At 41.5% G+C, this 16,709-nt stretch overlaps 1 protein-coding gene across 3 annotated transcripts in view; it reads left to right on the top strand.

Annotated features, from left to right (window-relative positions):
- The window catches only part of NCBP3 (nuclear cap binding subunit 3), a 44,089-nt gene that overhangs the window by 15,273 nt on the left and 12,107 nt on the right, over positions 1 to 16,709 (top strand). For all 3 annotated transcript variants that reach the window (XR_007065313.1, NM_001398494.1, NM_001114118.3), the window contains exons 4-12: positions 1,606 to 1,731; positions 4,759 to 4,887; positions 5,131 to 5,207; positions 5,924 to 6,032; positions 8,922 to 9,021; positions 9,622 to 9,725; positions 12,402 to 12,711; positions 14,704 to 14,858; positions 16,491 to 16,652. Coding sequence is in view for 2 of the 3 variants with exons in the window: in NM_001398494.1 (NP_001385423.1) it covers positions 1,606 to 1,731; positions 4,759 to 4,887; positions 5,131 to 5,207; positions 5,924 to 6,032; positions 8,922 to 9,021; positions 9,622 to 9,725; positions 12,402 to 12,711; positions 14,704 to 14,858; positions 16,491 to 16,652 (1,272 nt within the window). In the remaining variant the exon portion in view is untranslated. The remainder of the gene's footprint in view (positions 1 to 1,605; positions 1,732 to 4,758; positions 4,888 to 5,130; positions 5,208 to 5,923; positions 6,033 to 8,921; positions 9,022 to 9,621; positions 9,726 to 12,401; positions 12,712 to 14,703; positions 14,859 to 16,490; positions 16,653 to 16,709) is intronic.

Here is a 16,709-nt window from a genome sequence, read left to right as displayed (position 1 = left end):
CACCATTGCATTCCAGCCTGGGCAACAAGAGTGAAACTCCATCTCAAAAAAAAAGAAAAAAAAAAAAAGGTAGTTAAAAAAGTACGCAATTGGCTGGGCGCCGTGGCTCACACCTGTAATCCCAGCACTTTAGGAGGCCAAGGCGGGTGGATCACGAGGGCAAGGGATGGAGACCATGCTGACCAACATGGTGAAACCCCATCTCTTAAAAATACAAAATTAGCCGGGTGTGGTGGTACGCTCCTATAGTCCCAGCTACTGGGGAGGCTGAGGCAGGAGAATCGCTTGAACCCAGAAGGCGGAGGTTGCAGTGAGCCGAGATCGTGCCACTGCACTCCAGCCTGGCGACAGAGCGAGACTCCATCTCAAAAAATAAAAAGTATGCAGTCCTGATAAGGCTAAGTTTCTTTTTTGACCATAGCCTTCAACCTTTCTGCCTCCTCAGAAGTAACAGCAGTTATCAGTGTGACTCATATTGGCCTTTTCTGGGTGTCTGTGTACATAAATATGTACCCTTAGTAAATGTATGGTATTGTTTAATGTCATCACCTTGCATGTAATTTTTTACAACTTGTTTTTTCACTCTGTGATACATCTTAGAATCTTTCTGTGGTATATAATTATCTCATTTTTTACCACATAATATTTTATAATGTGGATAAAGCATAATTTATTACCCTGGTAACTACTGGGTTATTAGAAATCGTGCCTTAGCAAACATCTTCGTGTGAGCTACTTCGTGAGCCCACATGTATGTGTTTGTTGAGGGGCGATACTGAGGACTGGAGTTCCTAGGTCCGTAGGGCACGTGCAAAATCACGTTTTCTGCAGACCCTTCCATTTGCCCTCCGCAGTGACGATGCCCACCAGCCGGGGAAGTAAGCCTTTCCCCTACTTACTGCCAGCACTTCACACTAAAAGATGTAAGATATCTCGATTCAAGGACCAGAGACGCAGGAAAAATAAGGTGTAAAATCTGGTCCGTGAAAACTGGTGTCTTCTTGTTTTCATGTGCATGTTAATGATTGGTAGTGAGGTCAACCCATCTCCTCATATATTTATTGGCCTTTTGTATTTCCTTTTATGTAAATTGCTTACTCATGTCCTTTGCCCATTTTTATTTTGGGTTGTCTTTTTCTTCTTAATTGACTTGTAGCATCTCTTTAGTTTCATGCTTTGACATAGTCACGGGCAGCATCTCTTCTCTTTCAGAATTGTCTCCACTACTGCGCGTTTCTCTTTAACATACATTTAAAAATTTTAGAAGCAGCTGGCTAACTTCAACAAATACTCCTGTTGAGCTTGATAGTGCTCTGATTGCTACAGATTAATGTGGGGAGAGGTATCGTGTATTTTATCAACACCCTTTGTTTAATCTTTCTGAGCCTGATAGGCCTGTTCTGAATTAATGCTGTCGTTGAGTGATAAAAATTAAGATAGTTTACCTTACTGTTATGTCTCGTGCTCTTTTGAAATAATTATAGTTTCTCTCAGCATGTTTCTTTCTAAACTCGTGTTGTCTGAACTATTAGGAAGGAGTGTGGATGGGATGTGCAGTTGCGGACAGGAAAATTCTATCATCTTTTCTGTGTCTTGTCTTTCTAGCAATCCCCAAGGTGAGACTGGAGACAATCTATATTTGCGGAGTAGATGAGATGAGCACCCAAGATGTCTTTTCCTATTTTAAAGAATATCCTCCAGCTCACATCGAATGGTTGGATGATACCTCCTGTAAGTACACCCGAGTTTCCTGTGAATATGCTTTTGTTGATGATTTTTCAAGAGTTCTTGCCATCAGAGATGGTGAATGGTTCTGGCCCATACTACTTGTTTATGCCGAACTTCTGCTGTTAGTCCAGGAGAGAAAAAATTGTCGAGCAGTGAAACGCAGCATGCCCTTGCCAGTCTGCCAGCTCATACCCCATAGTGTCCCACGTCAGCTGAGAGGTGGTGGCCAGGGCTCTAGGAGGTGGGTTACTGGCCTCTGAATCTGCCGTAGTTGATTGAGGCCTCTTTAACACTCACCTTTTCCCAACAAAGGAGAGGATCCAACTGCGTAGACTTGGGGCTGCATTTTCAGAGCCTTGGACTTTGTCATTACTGCCTTCTGTACTGTTACTCAGAGGGCTGACTCTGCCTGTGTCTCTGACCTAGAGATAGACCAGAATAGACACTGGACAGAGTGTCATTCTGAATAGACAGAATGACCTAGAGCTAAACACTCTACTAGACTTCTCATTTCTGCTTGCCTTGAACTGTGTGTTCTAGAATGTCACCTGCTTGCCCTGACCCATGAGCTTTCCAACTTGTGGGCCAACTGTAATTTTTAACTTGCCTGCTTACTGTAAGTCTGGCCTGACCTCTTGTTACTGCTTTGCTGGCTTCTTGTCTTGACTTACTTCTAGTCTGGCTTTACTTGCTGCCAGCTGGCTGACCTGCTGGGTAGCACCCTAGATGGCAGCCGGTTTTCTTAGCTGCTCTCGTAGGAAGATGTTTTCATTGAAAGACAAACATGACTGAGTGAAACATTTTTCTCCTGTTTTCTTTCTGTTTAACTTACACTATCCAAATCGGGAATTGGCAGACCTTTTTCTGTAAAGGGCTGGAATGCAGATACTTGAGGCTTTGTAGGCTTAACGGTCTCTGTCACATCTGCTCAGCTCTGCTGTGGTAGCATGAAAGCAACTATAAATAATACAGAAGCTATGAGTCTGGCTGTTTTCCAGTAGAACTTTATTTACAAAAACAGGCGGTAGGCCAGGCACGGTGGCTCAGGCCTGTAATCCCAGCACTTTGGGAGGCCAGGGCGGGAGGATCACTTGAGATCAGGAGTTCAAGACCAGCCTGGCCAACGTGGCAAAACCCCGTCTCTACTAAAAATACAAAAATTAGCCTCATGTGGCGATGCACACCTGTAATCCCAGCTATTCAGGAGGCTGAGGCAGGAGAATTGCTTGAATCTGGGAGGCAGAGGCAGCAGTGAGCCAAGATAGTGCCACTACACTCCAGCCTGGGCAACAGAGTGAGACTCCATCTCAAAAAGAAAGAAAAAACAAAAACAAAAGCAGGTGGTAGATGTGTGTAGTTTATTGTACATTAATTAAACCTAAATAAAGCTGGTACAAATGTAAATAAACAACAGGTGGTGGGCTAGATTTTGCTTGAGGGTTATAGTTTACTAACCCTGATTTAAGTCATTAAAACTGTGACTAAGGTATATTAGAATTGGAGGGACTCTCAGAATTACATAGTTCACCTACCTTGTATTATTTATCAGAACCTGAGAAACAGAGGAAGGAACATATTTGCCTCAGGCCACATGGCACATTAGTAACAGAAGTGAGAGCCTCAGAGCTTCATTTCCCAAACTGAGATATAGGGGACGCATAGTTTTGAGAAATACTCTTTTAAGTTTATTTTCCGTAAGATTTCTCAAAGCTCTTTTCTTGCTAAATTATCTTCCTTAAAGAGGCACATTAAATTAGTTGCTACAAAGCCAACTGGCTGTCATGCCTCCATTCTACATATCCCAGGGATACCTTCATCATCCACGTTTTCCAATGGGAATGATGAAGGGGGAATTCGTTTAGCATGTCCTGACAAGGAGCAGCAAAGGGCTTCCCTGTAGGGGGCGGTAGTGTAAAGGACAATCCAAACTTACTTGACAGTTATCAAGAACTGCTAATACTTACATATTGAGTGTTTAACTACCTGTGTTCTGTTCCAAGTAGTTTAAATATACACAACTCTTTTTCATGGAATACTTAAGTTATTTTGTGGAACCCAGTTTGGAAACGCAGCTCTAGGCTAATTTCATCAGAGAGATTTTACTACCCTTTTCTTTCTTTTCCCTCCCCTTCCCTTCCATCTTTTCCCTTCCCCCTTCCCCTTTCCCCCTACCCTTCCCCCTTCCCTTTTCCTTTCCGTTCCGTTCCATTCTGTTCCATTCCTTTTGTTTTTTCTTGACAGAGTCTCGCTCTGTCGCCCAGGCTGGAGTGCAGTGTGGCATCATCTCGGCTCACTGCAAGCTCTGCCTCCCGGGTTCACGCCATTCTGCCTCAGCCTCCCGAGTAGCTGGGACCACAGGCGCCCGCCACCACGCCCGGCTAATTTTTTGTATTTTTAGTAGAGACGGGGTTTCACCGTGTTAGCCAGGATGGTCTCGATCTCCTGACCTCGTGATCCGCCTGGCTCGGCCTCCCAAAGTGCTTTCTCTCTCTCTCTTTTTCTTTCTTTCATCTCTCTCTCTCCTTCCTTCCTTCCTTCCTTCCTTCCTTCTCTTTCTGTCTCTCTTTCTCTTTCTTTCTTTCTTTTTTATTTATTTTTAACTTTTCATTTCTTTTGAGACAAAGTCTCACCCTGTTACCCAGGCTGGAGTGCAGTGGTGTGACCTTGGCATACTGCAGCCTCAATATCCTAGGCTCAATCCATTCTCCCACCTCGGCCTCCCAAGTAGCTGGGACTACCGGCTCATGCCACCATGACTTTTGTATTTTTTTGTAGAGACAGGGTGTCACTATGTTGCCCAGGATGATCTCACTCCAAGCGAGTCTCCTGCCTTGGCCTCCCAAAGTACTGGGGTTATAGGTGTGAGTCACCATGCCTGGTCTATATTTCTCTTCATTAGTTGGTTTGTATATTTACTGATGATAATCTGTTGCTAGATGAGGCTGTAGTGATGAATGCGATGCAGAATCTGCTCTCAAGAAGCTTACCATTTCCATGCTGTGTAATGTCTTATTTTACATTTTATTTTAGGTAATGTAGTTTGGCTGGATGAAATGACAGCCACACGAGCACTTATCAATATGAGCTCCCTGCCTGCACAGGATAAGATCAGAAGCAGGGATGCCAGTGAGGACAAGTCAGCTGAGAAAAGGAAAAAAGGTAACAACACAAAGGAGGGAACTGGGGTCTGAAAGTCCTCTTCTTTACACAGTCCTGTTTCTGAGCAGAGCTCTATATAGCATCTCATCACCAAGTGTTTCTGAACTAATCTATGATGCTTGAGATCATCAGGAAATAGGAGAAAATACTGGACTTTTAAAATTATATGAGATAGTTCATCTTGTATCTCATTATATGAAATATTTTATCTTGTTTCATCTTGTCCTTCACATTCCATTTTAGACAAGCAGGAAGACAGTTCAGATGATGATGAAGCTGAAGAAGGAGAGGTTGAAGATGAGAACTCAAGTGATGTAGAGGTTAGTAATAGGGGAAAGATAGATGTAAAGTTATTGTAAAAAATTGCTCACTGTCTTTTTAACTTAAGCCTTAAAGACTTAGTTACGTTTTTTCTCTAGCTTTCACCATTAGACCTTCTGAGGGTGCACCAGGCTCTTGTCCTTTAAGTTAGTGTGGATATAGCGATTCACCTTGAAATCTTAGAATAGTGCTTATGCTTCTACAAAAAAAGAAAATAGTTTTATTGAGAAATACTTTGAAGTGTTATCTAATTAGTAAAATGAAGAAACAGCAAGTAATGGCATACTTCCTAATGGATTATGTACTGTTGTTAAAAATATTAACATGCATTCATTTAAAAAATATTTACTGAGTACCTATTATATACCATATTCTAAGTGCTAGGGATATAGCTTCAAGCAAAACAAAGTCCTGGCCCTCTCGGAGCCTGCATTCTAGTGGGGAGTGCAGAGGATACACTGATGCACAGATATCTCATACTGTGTCAGGTGGCAATGAGTGTTGTGAAAAGAGTAGGGGATAGAGAATGATGGAGACTGTTCTTTTAGACAAGGTGGGCAGGGGAAATCTCTGAGTTAGAAATTCTACAGCGGAACTAGTGCTATAATGCTTGTAAGTATTAAAGGTAGAATGCTTTTCTTAATGGTAGCTTTACTACTGAAGAAATATCAAAAGGACTTTAATTTTTATATTAAAAATACTCTTCTTTCTTAAGTTGGATACGTTGTCTCAGGTAGAAGAGGAGTCTTTGTTAAGAAACGATCTTCGTCCAGCTAACAAACTTGCTAAAGGAAATAGGTTATTCATGAGATTTGCTACAAAAGGTAAATGTAATATTTGGTATTGTTTTATATTTTCAATCAAAATGATTTATTATGGAGTGACATCCTTCTTTTTTGAATAGAAGTTAGATCAAGTAATCTCAAAGTTCCCTTCAAACTATAATATTCTGCGCTTATGAAATAATTGCTTGCCACCTGAGTTGGAATTTCTGACTTTAAAAGTGAATATTAACTATTTGTATATTTCTGTGACTTCTGGCTAAAGTTATTTTCTGTTGAAACTGGTTTGCCTCATATATTTTCAGCCAGTTACCATCTGAATTATGAAAACTTTCAAATGAAACTTTATTTATTACAGCAACGTCCTCCTGAACATTGCCAGTGTACCATTCGGTTCTAATTCCCTTCTCATAAGATTGTTTACACATGGTGACTTTTGGTGGGCATTTAAAAATGTGTGTGTATGTGTATATATGTATGTGTATGTATGTGTATATATGTATATGTATGTATGTATCGCGTGTATGTGTGTATGTATGCATGTGTATGTATGTATATGTATGTATGTGTATGTGTATATATGTATGTGTGTGTATGTATATGTGTGTGTATGTGTATGTGTGTGTGTATGTGTGTGTGTATGTATGTATGTATGTATATGTATTATACACATATACACATATTGGTTTTTTTAATCATTTGAGAGTTAGTTGAAGATAAAAACCCATCACCCCTAAATGTATTCCAAAGAATAAGAACATTGTTTTATACATAGCACACTTAACAAAATCAAGAAATTTAACATTAATACAGTACTGTTACCTAATCCGTAGTCGATTTTCAAATTTTGTCAGTTGTTCCAATAATGTCCTTTATATATTCCCCGCCCAGCCCCAGGTCTAGGATCCATCCAGGACTGAGTGTGTAAGTATGTAATGTTTCCTTAGTCCCCCTTAAGCTGAAACTACTTCTATCCTCCCATGTTTTCCAAGAATATAGGTTTACTATTTTATACAATGTCCCTCAGTTTGGGTTTGTCTGATGATTCCTCCTGATTGAATTTGGGTTGTGCATTTGAGACAGGCGTGCCACAGAAGCGATGTCATGTCATTTCCAGAGCATCATGTCAGGAGGCCCTGGATACTTACTCGTCCCAGTCCTAGGGACGTTCACTTTATTCACTTGGTTAAGGTAATCATCACTAGGTTTTTCCACTGTAAAGTTGCTATTCTTCCATTTGTAATTTAAAAATTGGTGGGCTGGCTGGTTACAGTGGCTCGTGCCTGTAATTGCAACACTTTGGGATGCTGAGGCAGAAGGATCACTTGAGCCCAGGAGTTCGAGACCAGGCTAGGCAACATAGCAAGACCTCATCCCTATTTTAAAAAATAAAAAAATGATTAAAATAAAAAATTGGTGGGCAGATACTTTGAGATCACGTAAATAGCCTCTTGCTCATCAGAGCTTCATGCCTTTCTGACTATGTCATTTCTTTACCAGTAGACAGGTGCTCTAAGGAAGAGCCTTCTGTTTTTACCTGTTTGTTTATTTACATCAGTTTAGAATCATGGATTCTTTATTCAGTGGGTTATCATCCATGGATATCAGTATTTAATTTTATTTATTTTTTTGTTTGTTTTGAGACGGAGTGTTGCTCTGTCACCAGGCTGGAGTGCAGTGGCGCGATCTTGGCTCACTGCAACCGCTGCCTCCCTGCAACCTCTGCCTCCCTGCAACCTCTGCCTCCTGGGTTCAAGCAATTCTCCTGTCTCAGCTTCCCTAGTAGCTGGGACTACAGGTGCATGCCACCATGCCCAGCTAATTTTTGTATTTTTAGTAGAGATGGGGTTCACCATGTTGGCCAGGATGGTCTCGATCTCTTGACCTTGTGATCCGCCCGCCTCAGCCTCCCAAAGTACTGGGATTACAGGCGTGAGCCATCGCGCCCAGCCTAATATCAGTATTTTAATTTACAAATTGTCTTGGATTTGGCCAGTAGAGCCCCTTCAAGCTGTTTTGACATACTCCATGATTCTTTAAGCACTTTCTTTCTTTATGGCACAACAAAACATCTTGCTTTTCCAGACTCATTTTGCATCTTACCTGCTCCACATCTGGAATCAGCCATTTCTCCAAGGAGCTGGTGGGCATGGTTTGAGGGGTTCGGGGGTTGGGGGCTATACATACTGGTTTGTGTTGTCACGTTTACCTACAGCCCTGGATATATTTACAGTGGTGTTTGTTCTTTACAGTCAGAGTGTCCAAGAACTGTGGAAGGTCTTTGTATTACTACTTTTGACAAAAATTTATGATGACTGACCACCTTTCTTTCCTGTTAACTGACATTTCAACTTGACAAATGTGATCTTTACCACATTTACTCATTTGAGTGGCTGAGTACATTCTACATGTATAGTATTATGCTGTTTTCTTTAAGCCATTTTGAGGAGCACAATAAACTGGAAAAATGATTTACCAAATATATGGAATTATATGTAGTCTGTTTCCTTAATCCTGATGCTGTGTTGTTGGCATGTGATCCTTCAGAAGTGAATATCATCTTTCATGGGGTGGCAAAAATGCCACTATTTTGAGAAAGTCTTTTTGATTCCTGGGTACCTGTAATGACCTAAAGCTCTTTTATGCCTTTTGGAACCTTGTATCTTGTATTGTTTATTTTTGTTTTCTCCATTAAGTCATCTGGCTCCAAACAGCAGTTTTAACCTCATTCGTCTCTGTATTTTGCTTTATCCCCTCTACACTGCATTGCTGTAGTGGGCACTCAGAGTGTGAATGTTGGTAGTGGATTTTTACTTTTTGTTGGCAAATTGCGCTGATCTGATTCCAGCTATGGAAAACATTAAAAAAAAAATTCAACATTGTCTTTACACTCACAGGAAATCCTAGGTAACTATTGTCATTAATTTTTAGATGACAAAAAGGAACTTGGAGCAGCCAGAAGAAGTCAGTATTACATGAAATATGGGAATCCAAATTATGGAGGCATGAAAGGAATTCTTAGCAATTCATGGTGAGTCCAAAACCTTCAAATGCAATAGTATTTGAGTTTTTCTTAATCCTTCAGTTGGTATTCCGTGGTGAAATGTCTAAACCCTGTGTAAACTGGAAGGAAAACAAGAGGGAAGAATTCAAGATTCTTAGATGTGGTAAATGATGGGGAATGCTGAATTGTAGTTACATTTAAAATATCTGTGTTAGTACCTAACATTGTGTCAACGTGTAGTTGAAATGAATTAGCGAGCCCAGACATGGTGGCTCACGCCTGTAATCCCAGCACTTTGGGAGGCCGAGGCCAGCAGATCACCTGAGGTCAGGAGTTCGAGACCAGCCTGGCCAACATGGTGAAACCCCGTCTCTACTAAAAATACAAAAATTAGCCATGCATGGTGGTGGGCGCCTGTAATCCCACCTACTCGGGAGGCTGAGGCAGGAGAATTGCTTGAACCCAAGAGGCAAAGGTTGCAGTGAGCTGAGATGGTGCCATTGCACTTCAGCCTGGGAGAGAGATTGAGACTCCATCACAAAAAAAAAAGAAAAGAGAAAGAAATAGTGGATTTCAAGGTCCTTCCTATCAGTTTTTGATTGTGTGCTTATTTTGGCATTCTTGCAGGAAGCGAAGATATCATTCCCGTCGTATTCAGCGGGACGTGATCAAGAAGAGAGCCCTGATTGGGGATGACGTTGGCTTGACGTCGTATAAACATCGACATTCTGGTAGTTGCCTGCTCAGCTCTTGGGTAGACACATGTTTGGCTCCTGAAATCATATTTTTATTCTTAATGCAATCTTTTAAGGTTCCAAACTTTATCATCCTCTCTTCCTTGCCCTCACCCTCTGCCAACATATAGGAAAGTAAGTCAAGTCACAATTAATTTTAAGTTGCCCAAAGAGGTCAAATGATTTTATAAAAGCTGTTCTATCAAAAAAGGCAAAATATGACATAGGAAAAATTAAAACAAAACTTTCCTTAGGATCCTAATTTTTCTACTATTAATATCAACAGCTGCATGAAAACAATTTTTTTTTTTTTTTTAAGACGGAGTCTCGCTCTGTCTCTCAGGCTGGAGTGCAATTGCTTGATCTCGGCTCACTGCAACTCTGCCTCCTGGATTCAAGCAATTCTCCTGCCTTAGCCTCCCGAGTAGCTGGGACTACAGGCATGCGCCACCATGCCCAGCTAACTTTTGTATTTTTAGTAGAGATGGGGTTTCACCATGTTGGCCAGGCTGGTCTCGAACTCCTGACCTTGTGTTCCACCCACTTTGGCCTCCCAGAGTGCTGGGATTACAGGTGTGAGCTACCGCGCCTAGCCAAAAACAATTTTTGAAATTATTTTATCAGATGAACTGATTGTATTGTTCTTTTTCTGTATTAAAAATAGGCTGCTGTGTTGAGTGCTTTGTGCTTGTTGGTTTGTGCATGTGAATGCCTCAGAAGAGTGGGATATCATGACTTGGGTTTCTTTCTCCTTTTTTTGGTGCTTATTGTAAAAGAACCATTTTATTTATGTTTTATAAAGAATTGTTCTTGTTTTGAGCCTAATCTATGGAATCTTCTACATGCCTAATAGAACTAGTCAAGTCAGCATACAAAATAACATATACACACATTTATCATTGTAATGGGGACAGAAAGGGATGAAGTCTAGATGTTTTATTTAATGTGTATATACAAAATTGTATATTTGAGATCTACATGTTAATAATACACATAGGATGGGAACAGTGGCTCACACCTATAATCCCAGCACTTTGGGAGGCCAAGGCAGGAGGATCACTTGAAACCAGGAGTTTGAGACCAGCCTGGGCAACATAGTGAGACCTTGTCGTTACAAAAAATTAAAAAATTAGCCAGACCAGGCATGATGGCACATACCTGTGGTCCCAGCTACTTGGGAGGCTGAGATTGCCTGAGCCTGGAAGGTCAAGGCTGCAGTGAGCCAAGATTGTGCCACTGTATTCCAACCTGGGCGACAGAGCAAGACTTTGTCTCAAAATAATAATAATAATACACATACTTTACTGTTACACAGTTACACTTTTCCAATTTGAGTTACTTTAAAATATTTTCATCATATACTTTTTATATCCATATTAAGGAAATTAAAAAGCAAATTGCCCCTATTTCTAGTACCCTGTATGATGACTGAGTTCATCTTACATTTTTCCCATTTGTTTTCATAATAAATAGTATAACTCTTGGGAACATGTACTTTATATTCTACTTCTTTCGTTTATTGTATTTTTCCATTTTCATTATTCATGGTGCTTATGTTCTATAAAGTCACTGTGAACACTGAAGTAGCAAATACTGAATCGTACATAGCCTCTGGCCACATCATTTTTGTCAGTTGATCAATATGTAACCTTGTTTTACATATGTTTCTCTCTTTTTTTTTTTTTTGAGACAGAGTCTTGCTCTGTTGCCCAGGCTGGAGTGCAGTGGCGCGATCTCGGCTCACTGCAACCTCCGCCTCCCGGGTTCACGCCATTCTCCTACCTCAGCCTCCCGAGTAGCTGGGACTACAAGCGCACACCACCATGCCCGGCTAATTTTTGTTGTATTTTTTAGTAGAGACAGGGTATTAGCATGTTAGCCAGGATGGTCTCGATTTCCTGACCTCGTGATCTGCCCACCTCGGCCTCCCAAAGTGCTGGGATTACAGGCGTGAGCCACCGCGCTGGGCCCATATGTTTCTCTTTAAGACACCTTATTTAAGACACATTGTTGATTCGTTAACATTGAGTTCACAGCCAGTAGCCCTATAACTCATGCCTGAATGCCTTACCTGATATGGTATTTTTCCACAAGGCACATCACAGCCCCCTTGCATCTAGGAACACTAGGCAGCACTTCGGCACGACACTCAGGGCCATTTTAAGCAGTGAAATCACTAGCAGCAGGCACAGAAGTGTGAAAAATGTGCCACTCGGTGGACTGAAACAGACGCTTGTTTACAGCATGAGATGAAACAGGAAGGTGGAGTGTTGCTTTGTTTGACCTCCACTGGGAGTGTGTGTGCCTGGTGACTCAGATTTTTTTGCCACTCTGTGCGTGCCAGCAAATGACCATGGAAGCATTGCACGTATTCATTTTGGAGTTACAAATAAATTTGGTAAATTTGCAAATACAAAATCTGTGAATAATAAAGGTCAGTTGTATTTTAAATGACTTTATGGTATTTGGTTAGGCTGCTGCATCATACTTTACCTAGCCATCCTCCTGTTGCAGTATCAGAGTAATGTCCATTTGGCACTATTATAGATAGTGCTCCAATAAAATGTCAGGGATGGGAACCCCACCTTTTAAAAAGGTCACCGATGTAGAGTAGAAAATCATACTTGTTAATTTTAGTGCTTTTCCTAATGTTTTCTGGTTAAATTTCTTCAGGGCTAGTGAATGTTCCCGAGGAACCCATTGAAGAGGAGGAAGAGGAGGAGGAGGAGGAAGAGGAAGAGGAAGAAGAAGACCAGGACATGGATGCAGATGACAGAGTGGTGGTAGAGTACCACGAGGAGCTCCCGGCTCTCAAGCAGCCCCGGGAGCGGAGCGCGTCTAGACGATCCAGTGCCAGCAGCTCAGACTCAGATGAAATGGACTATGATCTAGAACTGAAAATGATTTCCACGCCTTCACCAAAGAAAAGCATGAAAATGACTATGTATGCTGACGAAGTGGAATCTCAGTTGAAAAATATTAGGTAAAAATTTGTTTTATCAAAGCTAGCTTTTAATTTGATTTTAAATACTAGTATAACTTCTTAATTCCTCCTAATTTTATAATATCTTTTATCTATTCTGATTTCAGTCCCTTGTAGGAGTTTAATAAACGCATCCAGTATTTCCTCTATACAAGCAGTGATTCTTGTTATAAAAACAAAAGACAACATAGAAAGTGAAAATCATCTGTATTCCCATTCTTTCTCAACAATAACTACTGTTAGCAATTTGGCGAATAACCTTTCAGCTATTTGTGTGTGTGTGTGTGTGTGTGTGTATGGCACAGGGAAAAGCTGTAGATATATTTGTATAAAAGTATACTTTTTATAAAGATGAGGTTATGCTATTTATAGTTTTGCATTGTGCATTTTTCACTTAATATATTGTAGACATTATTTTTTTCAACTGTATATAGTCTGTTGTTTGAAAGTATCATGATTTATTTAACGAATTCCTTTTTGATGGACTTTAGGTTTCTATTTTCTTACAATTGCACTAACTCAATAAATTCCTCAAAGTCCAGTTATTACACAAAACAATATGTGTTTAAAAAGATGGTAAGTATTGCTTTATTTTTTTCCAGAAGGGTTTTTTGTGTGTTTTTATTTTTTTTTTGAGACGGAGTCTCGCTCTGTCACCCAGGCTGGAGTGCAGTGGCGCGATCTCGGCTCACTGCAAACTCCGCCTCCCAGGTTCACGCCATTCTCCTGCCTCAGCCTCCCGAGTAGCTGGGACTACAGGCGCCTGCCACTACTCCTGGCTAATTTTTTGTAATTTTAGTAGAGACGGGTTTCAGCATGTTGGCCAGGATGGTCTCAATCTCCTGACCTCGTGATCCACCTGCCTCAGCCTCCCAAAGTGCTGGGATTACAGGCATGAGCCACCATGCCCGGGCTCAGAAGGGTTTTAATCCCAGAAGGGTTTTAATCACTCACATTACCACCTGTTACCTACAAGCTCACCAGCCTTAGCTATTACCATTCTTTCTAATGCTAGCTAGTTTCATGAACAAAAAAAAAATAGTTATTTTAATGTGCATGTCTTTGATTACTACTAGGGGTGAGCAGATTCTGTGCAGGCAGAATCCACAGTTCTAAGGGTTAGAGTCTAGGGATGCTCTGTGTAACGTAGTATGTTTGTGGGGAGGGGAAAAGACCATTCAAGCTGATTTGTTTGTATGGCCTTGTTCACCACGTTCTTTTTTTTTTTGAGACGGAGTCTCGCTCTGTCGCCCAGCCTGGAGTGCAGTGGAGCGATAACACGATCTCGGCTCACTGCAAGCTCCGCCTTCTGGGTTCACAGCATTTTCCTGCCTCAGCCTCCCGGGGAGCTGGGAGTACAGGCCACCACGCCCAGCTAATTTTTTGTATTTTTAGTAGAGACTGGGTTTCACCATGTTAGCCAGGATGGTCTCGATCTCCTGACCTCGTGATCCGCCCGCCTCAGCTTCCCAAAGTGCTGGGATTACAGGCATGAGCCTGTTCACATTCTTATTTTTGGTTTTCAGAGAGCTTTCTGGTAGAGAATGCTGCCGGAACGGTGCTGGCACCTAGCATGATAGCATATCTCTTTGAAAGAGAAGTCTGCCCTTTAAAGAGAGAGACTGTAGACTATACTGTGTGTTGACTACAGCCACATCACAGCATGTGTAAGTGGAAGCCCCAATCTCTTTGTAGGCCTCTACTTAACGTTTGTCCCAGAAAAGGGGGACTTGTAGTTGTATGCTGTGTAATAGCACATACACATGTGGAAACCACCTTCGAAAACCTGCTCACCAGAACCAGTCTCTTTAGAGCAGGCAGATCATGGTTTCCATAAGCAAATAATTATAAGTTTATGGATTTGTAAGTGAATGTTGGCCATGTAAGACAGGATTTCTTAAATTGTTTCCTCCAAAGTATGAGATTGTTGTTTGGGTCTTGTCTCACAGTTGAAGTTGGTTAACTGTGCCCCATCCTACCCCCTTTTTAAAGGAACTCCATGAGGGCAGATAGTGTATCTTCAAGCAATATCAAAAACCGAATTGGTAACAAATTACCACCTGAGAAATTTGCAGATGTCCGACATCTATTAGATGAGAAACGTCAGCACTCCCGTCCACGGCCACCAGTCAGCAGTACTAAATCAGGTACTGTTCCTCACTTGGATTCCTGGCTGGATTCTGAGCTCCGGAAAGCAGACTGGGGCAGAGAGAGGTTCCTGAGTAAAACATGCGATGTGTGAACTGATTTAGCTGTCCTGGTTCATCATGTCTAAATTGTGGGCTAGGTGTTGGAAATTGAGGAAATGAAAAATAATCAGACTTCTGAAAAACTAGCTTTAAATGTTTTTATTCCAAATAATTACAGTTGTTCCTTGGTATGTCTGGGGGCTTGCTTCCAGGACCCCCTCCCCGCCCCCTACAGATACCAAAATCCATTGATGCTTAAGTCCCTTATATAAAGTGACATATTATCTGCATATAACCTACACACATCCTCTCATATACTTTAAGTCATCTCTAGATTATTTACAATACCTAATACGGTATAAATTCTTATCCTGTGTTGTGTAAAATTTGTATTATTTTTTGCTGTACTCTTATGTCTTACTTTTTTTCCACATGTATTCGATCAGCAGTTGGTTGAATCTATAGATGTGGAATCCATGGATGAGGAGGGCCAACCATATTTTCCTCTGTATGACACTGGTATACTTTATATACAAGAATAATAGAAATTAAGTTCGGTGGTTGTCTGAACAGTTAAGAGTTTGAACTAGATAATTTCTATGTTCAAACACTGATTCAGCAGGTCTTTAGCCGTACCTGCTATGTGCCAGACCCTGGTCTAGGTGCTAGGAATGTGAGAAGCCTTTGGAGGGGACGCAGAGCCGTCATAGATCTACTCGGGAAGTTGTGAAAGACTTCTTAGAGAAAGTAGCATTAGAGCCAGGCCTTGGAGAGGGTAGGATCTCTGTTGGCAAACCTGATTTTTTTACATGAGAAGTAACCTGATCTTACATCTATTTTAGAAAGACAACTTGAGGGTGGAGTGGGGTGGGGTAGAGAGTTAAAAAAGTAACAAGAGCCTGAACTAGGTCGGTGGAGACAGAATGGATAAAGAACAGGATAGTCTTGTGAAGGAAGACTCAGTGCTAGGAAGTGTTGGAGGAAAGGAGCTCAGGTCTCAGTGACCAGAGACCAGGGTGCTGCTCTCTGAGAGAAGCTAAAGTGAGAGGAGACCTCGGCACAGGGCCTCACCAACGAATGTGTTTCTGTTGTTGCTGTGGTGGTTAGGGGGAACTCAAGAGGACAGGCCGATTTCTGGGGGGATTGAGGGAAAAACACATTTGATCCTTTGCCTTTTCCAGTCTCTTTATATTTACTGGTTAAATGTAATAAGTTTATTGGGAACTACTTGTATGTTCAAAGATTGTGCCTTCCACTTTCCAGGAGCTCACAGGATTTTTTGTTCGCTGAAACTTTTGTAAATTACTTAGTCTTCTTGATTCTGCTTAAAGAAAAAAAAAAAAAGGTTGTTTCTTCAGAAATATAGTTCTGGAGTAATCAGTTGAGGATTTTTCCTCTGACAGCCCCTATGTCCGAATTTTCCTAAGGAAATCCAGACTGATTACAAAGGAAGAATACTTAGCAGCCTGATTGTCAGGCCCTGTGTCCTCGGGGCAGGGGTTAGCGCCAGATCCGTTAGAGGTGTCAGGCGGCTGGTGCCGAGCATAAAGCACACACACGGTCACTGGTGCACTTTTTCTCTTTTTTCAGATATACGCCAGCGGTTAGGAAAAAGACCACATTCTCCGGAAAAGGCTTTTAGTAGTAACCCCGTCGTTCGGAGAGAGCCCTCTTCTGATGTGCATAGTAGGCTAGGTGTTCCCAGGCAGGATAGTAAAGGCCTCTACGCCGATACTCGGGAGAAGAAATCAGGTTGGTAACACTTAAAACGGATGGGAATGGGGATTCAGTGAGAGCAGAGGACAGTGG

The sequence above is a fragment of the Homo sapiens genome, chromosome 17 (assembly GCF_000001405.40).
Source record: "Homo sapiens chromosome 17, GRCh38.p14 Primary Assembly".
NCBI lineage: Eukaryota > Metazoa > Chordata > Mammalia > Primates > Hominidae > Homo > Homo sapiens.
This window is presented reverse-complemented; position numbering and strand designations above follow the sequence as displayed.